A 13997-nucleotide genomic window follows, 5' to 3' on the forward strand; every position below is an offset into this window, starting at 1 on the left:
TGTTACAAGTGTGAGCCACTGCACCTAGCCAGGTTATTTGTTTTATTATAGTTTTTTTTTTTCTTTTTCTTTTTTAAGAGTTAGGGTCCCGCTCTATCACCTAGACTTCAGTGCAGTGGCACCATCATAGCTCACTGCAGCCTTGAACTCCTGGGCTCAAGCAATTTTCCTGCTTCAGCCTTCTGAGAATCTGGGGCTACAGGTGTGTGCCAGTATGCCCAGCTAATTATTTTTTTTGCTGTAGATACGGGTTCTCATTTTGTTGCCCAGGCTGAGAAGTTCTCTCTATATTTTGAATATTAATCTCATCAGATATATGACTTGCAAATATTTTCTCCCATTCTATAGCTTGCCTTTTCACATTGTTGGTTATGTTGTTTGATGCATGAAAGTTTTAAGTCTGATGTAGTCCCATTTGTCTATTTTTTTCTTTTTGTTGCACATGCTTTTGGTGTTGTATGTAAGAAATTATTGCCAAATCCAATATCATAAAGATTTTCCCCTATGTTTTTCATGTAGGAGTTTTATAGTTTTAGGTCTTATGTTTTCCTTTCACTTTTTCTTTTCTTTTCTTTTCTTTTTTTTGAGACAGGGTTTCGCTCTTGTTGTGCAGACTGGAGTGCAATGGCATGATCTTGGCTCACTGCAAGCTCCGCTTCCTGGGTTCAAGCAATTCTCCTGCCTCAGCCTCCTCAGTAGCTGGGATTACAAGTGCCCACCACCACGCCCAACTAATTTTTTGCATTTTTAGTAGAGATGGGGTTTCACCATGTTGGCCAGTCTGGTCTCAAACTCCTGACCTCAAGTGATCTGCCTGCCTTGGCCTCCCAAAGTGCTGGGATTACAGGCGTGACCCACCATGACCGGCCCTCCTTTCACTTTTTAAGAATCATTTTGCTGGACATAAAATTCTTTGTTTGGAGAGTTTTTTCCCTTCTTTCTACACTTTATGTTATTCCAGTGCCACCTAGCCTCCATGGTTTCTGATGAGAAATCAGCTGTTAATCTTATTGAGCATCACTGGTATATAATTAATTGCTTCTCTCTTGTTACCTTCTGAATTCCTTCTTCGGCTTTCAATGGTTTGAATATGGCCTGCGTGATGGCTTATGCTTGTAATCCCAGCCCTTTGGGAGGCCAAGGCAGGAGGATTGCTTGAGCCTAGGATTTTGAGGTTACAATGAGCTATGTTCATGCAACCACACTCCAGGCTGGGTGACAGAATGAGACCTTGTCTCAAAAAAACGTTTGATTATGATTTGTCTCAGAAGGACTCTCTTTGAGCTTATCCTACTTGGGATTTGTTGAGGTCCTTGGTTGTGTAGAAACGTTCTTGTTTCTTTGCATACCTATTTTTCTGTTGTTGAAAACTGGACATTTTAGGGTTGTGTTTTGTTTTTGAGATGGGGTCTTTCTCTGTCACCCAGGCTGTAGTGCAGGGGTGTGATCACAGCTCACTGCAGCCTCGACCTGACAGGCTCAGCGTTCTCCCACCTCAGCCTTCCAAGTAGCTGGGACTACAGGTGCACACTACCATGCCTGGACAATTTTTCTCTTTTTTGTTTTTCTGGATTTTTTATAGAGATGGGATTTTGCCTTGCCCAGGCTGGTTTTGAACTCCTGGCTCATGTGATCTGCCCACTTCAGCCTCCCAAAGTGCTGGGATTATGGGCTTGAGCCACTGCCTTGGTCGGTTTCTTTTTTGAGGGTGGGTAGGGGGATGGAGTCTCCCTCTGTTGCCCAGGCTGGAGTGCAGTGACACAATCTCAGCTCTCTGCAACCTCCACCTCCCAGGTTCAAGAGATTCTTCTGCATTAGCCTCCCAAGTAGCTGGGATTACAGGTGCCTGCCACCATGTCTGGCTAATTTTTGTGTTTTTAGTAGAGACGGGATTTCACCACGTTGGCCAGGCTGCTCTTGAACTGCTGGCCTCAAGTGATCCTCCTGCCTTGGACTCCCAAAGTCCTGGAATTACAGGCATGATCCCAGGCCCTCAGTCTGTTTTTGACTTCTGCTGATCAATATATTACCTTTGAGATATCCATGTTTTGTGTATATCAGTAGTTCATTGTTTTCATTACTATTATTCTATTTTATGATTATGCCACAATTTGTTTATCTATTTGCCTGTTCATAATTGTCAGGTAATTTCCAGGTTTTTTTTCCTACATTTTCTTTTTTTTTAGAGATGAGGTCTCACTATGTTGCCCAGGTTAGAGTATAGTGGCTACTCACAAACACAATTATAGTGTACTACAGCCTCGAACTCCTGGGCTTACGTGATTCTCCTGTCTCAGCTTCCCAGGTAGCTGGGACTACAGGTACACACCACTGTGCACAACTCTCTAGTATTTTTAAGTGCATATTTATTCATATTACCTTATATATCTGAATCGTTTTTCTTTATGCACAATTGGTAATTTGCATTCAGTGACGTTTCTCTTTTTCAAGAATATTTTTGTTGTTGTTAATTTTATACTTTAGACAGCAATCCCATGTGTGCAGTGTAAATGTGAATTCAAGTCATATTTATAACCATGGTCCTGACCTGGACCTCTGATTTCTTTTGGGAAATTTCTTTTTTTTTTGAGATGGAGTTTCACTCTTTTTGCCCAGCCTGGAGTGCAATGGTGTAATCTTGGCTCACCACAACCTCTGCCTCCCTGGTTCAAGTGATTCTCCTGCCTTAGCCTCTTGAGTAGCTGGGATTACAGGCATGCGCCACCACCCCTGGCTAATTTTGTATTTTTAGTAGAGATGGGGGCTTCTCCATGTTGGTCAGGCTGGTCTTGAACTCCCAACCTCAGGTGATCTGCCCCCCTCGGCTTCCCAAAGTGCTGGGATTACAGATGTGAGCCACCGTGCCCAGCCTTTCTCTTCTTTTTTTTTTTTTTTTTTTTTTGAGATGGCATCTTGATCTTGTCACGCAGGCTGGAGTGCAGTGTCATTAGCTCACTGCAACCTCCCCCTCCCAGGGTCAAGCGATTCTCCTGCCTCAGCCTCTCGAGTAGATGGGATTACAGGCGCCCAACACCACACCTGTCTAATTTTTCTTTTTTAGTATTTTTAGTAGAGATGGGGTTTCAGCCTGTGGCCAGGCTGATCTCAAACTCTTGACCTCAGGTGATCTGCCCGCTTCAGCCTCCCAAAGTGCTGGGATTACAGGCGTGAGCCACTGTGCCTGGCCTCTTTTGGGGAATTTTGTTTTTTTACCCAAAGTGAAGCTTTTTTGAAATGTTCATTTGCTTTTTGTATCTCTTTATTAATCATAAACCCTGCTTATACATGGGACTGATCCATAGGATTCCTGTAATCAATGCCATATTTTCCTTGCTTATGAGGTTTCAGTTTTTGACTCTGTTCCCTACTTGGACAATAAAGTCCCAGTTGGCAATTGTTCGATCCATGAGTAGTTACAATTCCCTCAAGGGTTTTTCAGCTCTGCTTCACTGATTCCTCTAATTTGGGTTTATGAAACTAGGGTAATCCCACCTTTTAATGAATAAGTTTACTGTTTATTTTTAAAATTATTTTTATTTTTGTTTTTGAGTTGGGATCTTGCTCTTGTCACTCAGGCTGGTGTAGATTGGTGGGACCACAGCTCACTGTAACCTCAAACTCCTGGGCTCAAGTGATCCTCCTGACTCAGCCTCCCAAGTTACTGGGAATACACGCATGTACTACCACACTCAGCTGTTTTTTTAAAATTTTATTTTTGTAGAGAGAGGGTTTTACCCAGGCTAGTCTTGAACTCTTGGCTTCAAGTGAGTTCAAGATCCTGCTGCCCTGGCCTCCCAAAGTACTGGGGTAACGTGTGAGCCACCATGCCTGACCTAGTGTTTATTTTTTAATGTTGCTTTTTATGTGGCATTTGTGTTTGGCACTGGATGGAAGGAAGATAAATTCTGTGTCAATTAGGTTTATTGATGCAGATATTCAATCAATATTGACTGAATTTCTGTGTAAGAAGATTGAAGATATTGCTTTCCTGCTTTACTGCATATAGGGTTGCCAAGATTGTACCAAGATCACATTTTTTTCCTTTATACTATGATTCTATTTTTAAATTTGTGAATAAGGTGAGAGGTATGAGCCAAAGTTTTTGTTGTTGTTGTATATGGCTGTTTAGTGGTTCCAGAACAGTTTGTTCTGGAAAAGAATATAGCTTCTCCGTTAAATCGTCTTTGTATGTTTATCAAAAAAATTAATTGACCATATATTTGTGGGTCTATTTCTATATTCTTAATTTTGTTCCAAAATATCTATGCATCTATCTCTCCTTTCATGAATATCACAGTGTTTTGATTGTGGTAGCCCTTAGTACATCTTGAAATCAGGTAGTGTGAGCCCTTCAACTTTGCTCTTTTTCAAAATTGTCTTGGCTGTTGAAATTCCTTTGTCTTTCCATATAAATTTTAGAATACGGTTAAGATTTCTACAAAAATGCTAATATTGTTTTAATTGGATTGCATTGAACCTATAGATCTGTTTTGGAAGAACCGACATTTTAACAATATTGAGTCTTCTAATCCATGAACATGATTTTTTTTTTTTAGGTTTTTAGATTTTATTTAGGTTTTCTCTTTTCTCTCTTTCTTTCTTTCTTTCTGTCTGTCTGTCTTTCTTTCTTTCTTTTTCTTTCTTTTTTTTTTCTTCTGGGTCTTGCTGTCTCACCCAGGCTGGAGTGCACTGGTGTGATCATTGCTCACTGTAGCTCAACCTGCCAGGCTCAAGTCATCCACCCAACTCAGCCTCCCAAATAGCTGAGACTACAGACACACCACACGGCTGGCTAATTTTTGCATTTTTTGTAGAGATGGGGTTTCACCATATTGCCTAGGCTGGTCTCCAACCTCTGGGCTCAAGTGATCTACCCACCTTGGCTTCCCAAAGTGCTGGGATTACAGGCATGAGCCACTGCATCTGACCTATTTAGGTTTTCTTTTATTTCATCAGTGTCTTGTATTTATCACATACAGATCCCGGAGATATCTTAATAGACTTATTCCTAAGTATTTCATGATTTTTTATGATATTATAAGTAGTACTGTTTGGATTTTTTTTTTTTTTTTGAGACAGGGTCTCTGTCACCCAGGCTGGAGTGCAGTGGTGTGATCTGGTCTCACTGCAACCTCCACCTCCCGGATTCAAGCTATTCTCCTGCCTCAACCTCCCCAGTAGCTGGGATGACAGGTGCCCCCCACCATGTCTGGCTAATTTTTATATTTTTAGTAGAGATGGGTTTTCACCATGTTGGCCAGGCTGGTCTCGAACTCCTGACCTCAGGTGATCTGCCTGCCTTGGCCTCCCAAAGTGCTGAGATTACAGGCATGAACCACCATGCCTAGCCTACTGTTTTGATTTTTAACTGGCAATTGCTAGTATATGGAAATGCAATTAATTTTTGTGTGTTAACCTTGTGTCCTCTCTTTGCTAATAATACAGTCTATGTAGACAAAATTGATTACTTCATTTCCAGCCTATAAATATTTTTTTCTTGCCTTATTGTGCTGACTAGACATAACAGAAGAAAAACAAGGTGCAACAATGAAAACAGGAAGATTGAGGGTTTGCCCTATGACTTCACTTCTTTGATGGATCTAAGAAGAGTTTTTGATTTTTCAGTTTGTTTGGGTTTTTACTTGTAAGAACAGAGTTGCTACTTTTAGGTCTGTACGTGCTAAACCAGAAACCCTAACGGTTCAGTTTATACTTTTAAAATATAACACATATTTTATTTTACTTATGTATTTTATTATATTATATTTTTTTGAGGCAAGGTCTCGCTCTGTTCCCCAGGATGAAGTGCAGTGGCATGATCATGGCTAACTGCAGCCTCGACCCCCTGGTCTCAAGTGATCCTCCCATCTCAGCCTCTTGAGTCACTTGGACTATAGACATGTTACACCATGCCTCGCTAATAGAACATGTATTTTAAAACAAAAATTATATTAACACACAAACACCATTTATTGTTTTTTATCCTGATAATTTCTTTCTCCCAAATTTTGTATTCCTTGTAGTTGAGACATTGCAACCTTTTTTTTTTTTTTTTTTTTTTTTTTTACTTTCACCAGTATTGTTTAATACATGTTGCTTCATTTCTCTGTGAACATTTGGTGTTGTCAGGGTTTTTTTTTTTTTTAAAGCTATTCTCCTAAGTGTGAAGTAGTATCTAATTGCAGTTTTAAAGCATTTCTCTGCTGAGCACTGCTACATGTACTTATTGACCATTCACACATCTACTTAAAACTTTTGCCTAAGGTTGTAAAGATGTTCTAAATTTTCTTCTGGAAGAGTTACAGTTTTAACTTACACATTTAGGTTTATCGCATATTGCTAATTAATTTTTGTGTATGATGTGAGGTAGAGATTGAGGCTCATGTTTTCATAGTTTTTTTCTGGTTGTTTCAGCTCAATCTTTTTTTTTTTTTTTTTTTTTTTTTTAGTATTTATTGATCATTCTTGGGTGTTTCTCGGAGAGGGGGATTTGGCAGGGTCATAGGACAATAGTGGAGGGAAGGTCAGCAGATAAACATGTGAACAAGGGTCTCTGGTTTTCCTAGGCAGAGGACCCTGCGGCCTTCCGCAGTGTTTGTGTCCCTGGGTACTTGAGATTAGGGAGTGGTGATGACTCTTAAGGAGCATGCTGCTTTCAAGCATCTGTTTAACAAAGCACATCTTGCACCGCCCTTAATCCATTTAACCCTGAGTGGACACAGCACATGTTTCAGAGAGCACGGGGTTGGGGGTAAGGTTATAGATTAACAGCATCCCAAGGCAGAATAATTTTTCTTAGTACAGAACAAAATGGAGTCTCCTATGTCTACTTCTTTCTACACAGACACAGTAACAATCTGATCTCTCTTTCTTTTCCCATTTCCCCCTTTTCTATTCGACAAAACCGCCATCGTCATCATGGCCCGTTCTCAATGAGCTGTTGGGTACACCTCCCAGACGGGGTGGCGGCCGGGCAGAGGGGCTCCTCACCTCCCAGACGGGGTGGCCGGGCAGAGGCGCCCCCCACCTCCCGAACGGGGCGGCTGGCCGGGCGGGGGCTGCCCCCCACCTCCCTCCTGGACGGGGCGGCTGCCGGGCGGAGATGCTCCTCACTTCCCAGACGGGGCGGCTGCTGGGCGGAGGGGCTCCTCACTTCTCAGACGGGGCGGCCAGGCAGAGACGCTCCTCACCTCCCAGACGGGGTGGCAGTCGGGCAGAGACACTCCTCAGATCCCAGATGGGGTCGCGGCCAGGCAGAGGCGCTCCTCACATCCCAGACGGGGCATCGGGGCAGAGGAGCTTCCCACATCTCAGAGGATGGGCGGCGGGCAGAGACGCTCCTCACTTCCTAGATGGGATGGCAGCTGGGAAGAGGCACTCCTCACTTCCCAGACTGGGCGGCTGGGCAGAGGGGCTCCTCACATCCCAGACGATGGGCGGCCAGGCAGAGACGCTCCTCACTTCCCAGACGGGGTGGCTGCCGGGCAGAGGCTGCAATCTCGGCACTTTGGGAGGCCAAGGCAGGCGGCTGGGAGGTGGAGGTTGTAGCGAGCCAAAATCACGCCACTGCACTCCAGCCTGGGCAAGATTGAGCACTGAGTGAGCGAGACTCTGTCTGCAATCCCGGCACCGTGGGAGGCACAGGCGGGCAGATCACTCGCGGTCAGGAGCTGGAGACCAGTCCGGCCAACACTGCGAAACCCCGTCTCCACCAAAAAATACAAAAACCAGTCAGGTGTGGCGGCGCACGCCTGCAATCCCAGGCACTCGGCAGGCTGAGGCAGGAGAATCAGGCAGGGAGGTTGCAGTGAGCTGAGATGGCGGCAGTACAGTCCAGCCTCGGCTGGACATCAGAGGGAGACCGTGGAAAGTGGGAGACGGGAGAGGGAGACGGGAGAGGGATAGGGATAGGGAGAGGGAGAGGGAGAGGGAGAGGGAGAGGGAGAGGGAGAGCCCATTTTTTAAGTAGGATAAGAGACAGCGGCTATCTTAATTTTATGGTAATTCAATCATTACCACTGATTATGGTACCAGCTTTTAAAATTTTCCCAGGATAAAATAGCAGATAAAGAATGTGAAATATGGTCCAGCACAGTGGCTCACGCTTGTAATCCCAGCACTTTGGCAGGCCAAGGTGGGCAGATCACTTGAGGCCAGGAGTTTGAGACCAGCCTGGCCAACATGGCGAAACCCCGTCTCAACTGAAAACACAAAAATTAGCTTTGTCTTTTCATATAAATTTTGGAATATGGTTAAGATTTCTGCAAAAAATGCTACTATTGTTGCATGGTGGCATGTGCCTGTAGTCCCAGCCACTTGAACTGGGGAGGCGGAGGTTGCAGCGAGCTGAGATGGCATTACTGCACTCTAGCCTGGGCGACAGAGTGGGACTCTTGCCTCAAAAAAAAAAAAAAAAAAAATGCGAAATAGCTTGTATTTCCTACTCCATCTCGGGGAATACATGTGAGATGAGGTTTATGATTTTGATAAAATCTGGACTAATATAAATAAAATCTGTCATGATAGTGTGGATCATTCATTCAGGAACCATTTATTAACCACCAGCTATTTATAGAATAGAAAGTATTGGGATATAAAAATTAATAAAATCTGTTACTTTTATCATAATCTAAAGCAGGGGTGTCTAATCTTTTGGCTTCTTTGGGCCACACTGGAAGAATTGTCCTGGGCCACATATAAAACACACTAACACTAATGATAGCTGATGAGATGAAATAAAAAAAATGGCAAAAACAATTTCATAACGTTTTAATAAAGTTTATAAATTTATGGTAGATTGCATTCAATGCCGTTCTGGACCACATGTGGCGTATGGGCAATGGGCTGAACAAGCTTGATCAAACGTGTTCTGTCCAGAATTGGTGGGTTTTTGGTCTCACTGACTTTAAGAATGAAGCCACGGACCCTCGTGGTGTTACAGCTCTTAAGGTGGCACATTTGGAATTTGTTCCTTCTGATGTTCAGATGTGTTCGGAGTTTCCTCCTTCCGGTGGGTTCGTGGTCTCACTGGCTCAGGAGTGAAGCTACAGACCTTCGCGCTGTCACAGCTCATAAAGGCAGCGTGGACCCAAAGAGTGACAAACAGCAGGATTTATTGCAAAGAGCAAAAGAACAAACCTTCCACACTGTGGAAGTGGACCCGAGTGGGTTGCCACTGCTCGCTGGGGCAGCCTGCTTTTATTCTCTTATCTGGCCCCACCCACATCCTGCTGATTGGTAGAGCCCAGTGGTCTGTTTTGACAGGGTGCTGATTGGTGCCTTTACAATCCCTGAGCTAGACACAAACGTTCTCCACATCCGCACCAGAGTAGCTAGATACAGAGGGTGGACTGGTGCATTCACAAACTCTGAGCTAGACACAGGGTGCTGATTGGTGTGTTTACAAACCTTGAGCTAGATACAGAGTGCCGATTGGTGTATTTACAATCCCTGAGCTAGACATAAAGGTTCTCCAAGTCCCGACCAGAGTAGCTACATACAGATTGTCGATTGGTGCATTCACAAACCCTGAGCTAGACACAGGGTGCTGATTGGTGTGTTTACAAACCTTGAGCTAGATACAGAGTGCCAATTGGTGTATTTACAATCCCTTAGCTAGACATAAAGGTTCTCCACGTCCCCACCAGACTCAGGAGCCCAGCTGGCTTCACCCAGTGGATTCACCACGGGGGCTGCAGGTGGAGCTGCCTGCCAGTCCCGTGCCGTGCGCCGGCATTCCTCAGCCCTTGGGTGGTGGATGGGACTGGGCGCCGTGGAGCAGGGAGCGGCGCTCGTCGGGGAGGCTCGGGCCGTACAGGAGCCCACGGAGGTCGGGGAGGCTCAGGCATGGCGGGCCGCAGGTCCCGAGCCCTGCCCGGCGGGAAGGCAACTAAGGCCCGGTGAGAAATTGAGCACAGCAGCTGCTGGCCCAGGTGCTAAGCCTCTCACTGCCCAGGGCCGGCGGGGCCCGCGGGGCCGGCTGGCAGCTCCCAGTGCAGGGCCCGACGAGCCTACGCCCACCCAGAACTCGCGCTGGCCCACAAGCACAGCACGCAGCCCCGGTTCCCGCCCGCGCCTCTGCCTCCACACCTCCCCGCAAGCTGAGGGAGCCGGCTCCGGCCTTGGCCAGCCCAGAAGGGGGCTCCCACAGTGCAGCGGCGGGCTGAAGGACTCCTCAAGTGGCGCCAAAGTGGGAGCCCAGGCAGAGGAGGCGCCGAGAGCGAGCGAGAGCGAGTGAGGGCTGTGACGATTGCCAGCACGCTGTCACCCCTCAGTGTGACTGGCTAAGCACATAAGGAAGATAGTTGATGAGTATTTTTTTTCACCTTAAGATAACTGAGTATGTAATGAATATTCTGATAGAGATATGTACAAGGTACAATGGGAGTTTGGTAATAGCTGGTTTAATTAATTAGATAATCTGTTAATTGTATGTCTAGCTTTAACCTGTGAACCCTTTATGAATCTATGAACCTGTACTGCATCAGGCAAATCCAGTTGGGTTTTTGTGTTTTTTGTTGTTGTTGTTTGCTTATTTTTTTGAGACATAGTTTCATTTTGTTGCCCAGGCTGGAGTGCAATGGAGCAATCTCAGCTCACTGCAACCTCCACCTCCTGGGTTCAAGTGATTCTCCTGCCTCAGCCTCCCAAGTAGCTGGGATTACAGGCATGCACCACCACCCCTGGCTAATTTTGTATTTTTAGTAGAGACGGGGTTTCTCCGTGTTGGTCAGGCTGGTCTCGAACTCCCGACCTCAGGTGATCCGCCCGCCTCGGCCTCCCAAAGTGCTAGGATTACAGGCGTGAATCACCGCGCCCGGCTCAGTTGGTTTTGCCTTCATAGTAATTCTCCTGTTCTACTCTCCATGTGATCTCCCTGCTGACAAACTTGTTTCCCTTTCACACATTCAGTGCGCTAAATAGCCAGAATGAGATTTTAAAAATGTAAATCAGATTAAGCTACTTTTTTGCTTAGAACTCTGCAGTGGTTTCTCATCATATTAGGATAAAAATCCTTGCCAAGGGTCTACAGGGCCCATATAACCTTACCCTGCCTCCTTCTCTTCCTCTCAGCACTCTCTCACCCTTTTCCCCTGTGCTTTAGCCACAAGACCACAGTAGTCTTTTTTTCTATTCCTTTAACACATCAAGCCTCTATATACAACTGGGCCTCTGAAATTATTGTTCCTACTTTCTGAAACATTCTGCCCGCAGACCTTCACATAGCTATTGTTCAAATTTCTACTTAAGTGTCATTTCCTCAGCTTGGCTTTCTCTGATCACTCCGTCTTTCCCCATCCCCTTCCAAGTACTTATGACTGCCTGTCATTAGTATATTTATTTTGTCGTCTGTCTTTCTCACTGTAATGTAAACCACAGGCTTGTGGGGACTTTTCCCAAGGTTTGGAACAGTAGCTCATATATTCTGGCTGCTCAGAAAATATTGGTTGAATGAATAAATAACTTTGACACAACCGCTCACAGAGCTTATCACTGCTTGAAGTTATCTTTTTCCCATACTTTGTTATACTTTATTGCCTGTTCCTCCCACTCACCCTACTAGAGCAGCAACTTGTTTGCCTTGTTTATTTTTATATCTCTGGAGTCTAGAGCAGTTCTTGGCCTATAGCAGGTGTGTTGTCAGTAAATACAGCAGTCTCATCCACAGTTTTGCTTTCACTGGTTTCATTTACCTGAGGTCAATCACAGTCCTAAAATGTTAAATGGAAAATTTCAGAAATATACAATCCATGAATTTTAAATTGTGTGCCACTCTTAGGAGTGTAATGAAATCTCCTGCTGCTCACTTCATCCTGCCTGGGACATGAATTATCTATCCCCTTGTCCAGCATATCCATGCTGTCTATGCCACCTACCTGTTAGTCACGTAGTAGCCATCTTATCAGTTATCAGATTGACTGCAGCAGTATTGCAGTGCTTATGTTCAAGTACCCATTATTGTACTTAACAATGGCCCAAAGTTCAAGAGCAGTGAATACTGGCAATTCAGATATGCCAAAGAGAAGCCATGAAGTGCTCCCTTTAAGTGAAATGGTCAAAGTTCTTGACTTAAGGAAAGAAAAAAAAACCCTATGAGACTGCTAAGATCTATGGTAAGAACCAGTCTTTTATCTGTGAATTTCTGAAAAAGGAAAAAGGAATTTGTGCTAGTTTTGCTGTTGCAACTCAGACTACAAAAGTTATGGCCACAGTGCCTGATAAGTGCTTAGTTAAGATGGAAAAGGCGGCACAGCACAGTGGCTCATGCCTGTAATCCCAGCACTTTGGGAGGTCAAGGTAGGTGGATCACTTGAGGCCAGGAGTTTGAGACCAGCCTGGCCAACATGGCGAAACCCCAACTCTACTAAAAATACAAAAAATTATCTGGGTGTGGTGGCATGCACCTGTAATCTCAGCTACTCCGGAGGCTGAGGCAGGAGAATCGCTTGAACTTGGGAGGTGGAGGTTGCAGAGAGCTGAAATGGCGCCACTGCACTCCAGCCTGGGTGACAGAGTGAACTTCATCTCAGAAAAACTAAAACAACAACCACAAAAAAGATGGAAGAGGCATTACATTTGTGGGTGGAAGACATGAACAGAAAACATGTGCCAATTGATGGCAACGTGTTGAGCCAGAAAGTATTGAGCCTATACAAAGACTTCAGTGAGGGATTCCCTAAAACGAGTGATACCAAGCCACTTACTGCAAGTAATGGATAGTTACATGAATGTAAGAATAGATTTGGACTGAAAAATATAAAAATCACTGGAGAGGCTGCATCTGTCTCTTCATCTTATCACATAGGCATTTTATCATCATACATCATCTCAAAAAGAAGGGTCAGTACAATAAGATATTTTGAGACAGAAAGACCACATTTACATAACTTTTATTACAGTATAATTGTTCTATCTTATTATTACTTGTTAATCTCCTACTGTGCCTGATCTATAAATTAAGCTTTATCATAGGTATGTATATATAGGAAAAAACATAGTACACATAAGGTTTGGTACTATCCATCGTGTCAGGCATCCACTTGGGGGTCTTGGAAAGTAGCCCCTGCAAATACAACTGTATTTGTTAAATGAATGAATGGATGAGTAAGACATCGTATTCACTTCTTAAAGATCTTAAAATCTAGAGAGGAGAGAAACATTGCTGTAGGAGAGGATAAACAAAGGACTGTGAAATCTCTGGAGAAATTGAAATCAGGAAGGGAAGGGCAAATCGCAAAAGTCAAGCCAGGAGCATTAAGTTAGATTTGTGCTTTGAGATGAAAACCCCTTACAAATCCTAAGTCAGGGAATGCAATGGTTCTAGAGCCAACTCTAAAGAAAATTTCACACATGGGAAATACATCCTACTGGATATCCGGATTAAAAGCGTTCAGTAGAGACTGGTGCAGTGGCTCAGGCCTGTAATTCCAGCACTGTGGGAGACTGAGGCAGGCAGATCGCTTGAGCCGAGGAATTCGAGACCAGCCTGGGCAACATGGCAAAAACCCCATCTCTATTAAAAATACAAAAAATTAGCCAGGCGTGGTGGTACATTCCTGTAATCCCAGGTACTCAGGAGGCGGAGGTGGGAGGATCACCTGAGGCCAGGAGGTAGAGGCTGCAGTGAGCTGTGACCATGCCACTGCACTCCAGCCTGGGCGACAGAGTGAGACCCTGTCTCAAAAAATAAAATAAAATGAGAAATAATAAAATAAAATTAGCTGGGCATGTCGGGAGGCTGAGGTGGAAGGATTGCTTGAGCCCAGGAATTCGAGGTCATAGTGAGCTCTATCACGCCACTGCACTCCAGCCTGGACGACAGAGCAAGACCCCAGCTCTTTAAAAGAAAAGCGTTGAGTAAATACTTGTTGATTAATTCCATTTCTGGAAATAATCGGATTTATGAAAGAGGCCCTGCCCACCTCTTTGATATGGACTTGTACTAATGAACTACAATTCCCAGCATGCGTCAGAATTAGGGCCGTAGAGTTTTTTAA

General features: G+C 44.5%; 1 annotated feature.

Moving 5' to 3' along the window:
- Positions 13746 to 13885: an enhancer, noted in NCBI's record as "active region_2609". NCBI's record gives its function as "activates an Ori minimal core promoter by ATAC-STARR-seq in GM12878 lymphoblastoid cells {active_cell/tissue: GM12878}" and the evidence as "EXISTENCE:reporter gene assay evidence [ECO:0000049][PMID:35858748]".

This window comes from Homo sapiens, chromosome 1 (genome assembly GCF_000001405.40).
Source record: "Homo sapiens chromosome 1, GRCh38.p14 Primary Assembly".
Classification (NCBI taxonomy): Eukaryota; Metazoa; Chordata; class Mammalia; order Primates; family Hominidae; genus Homo; species Homo sapiens.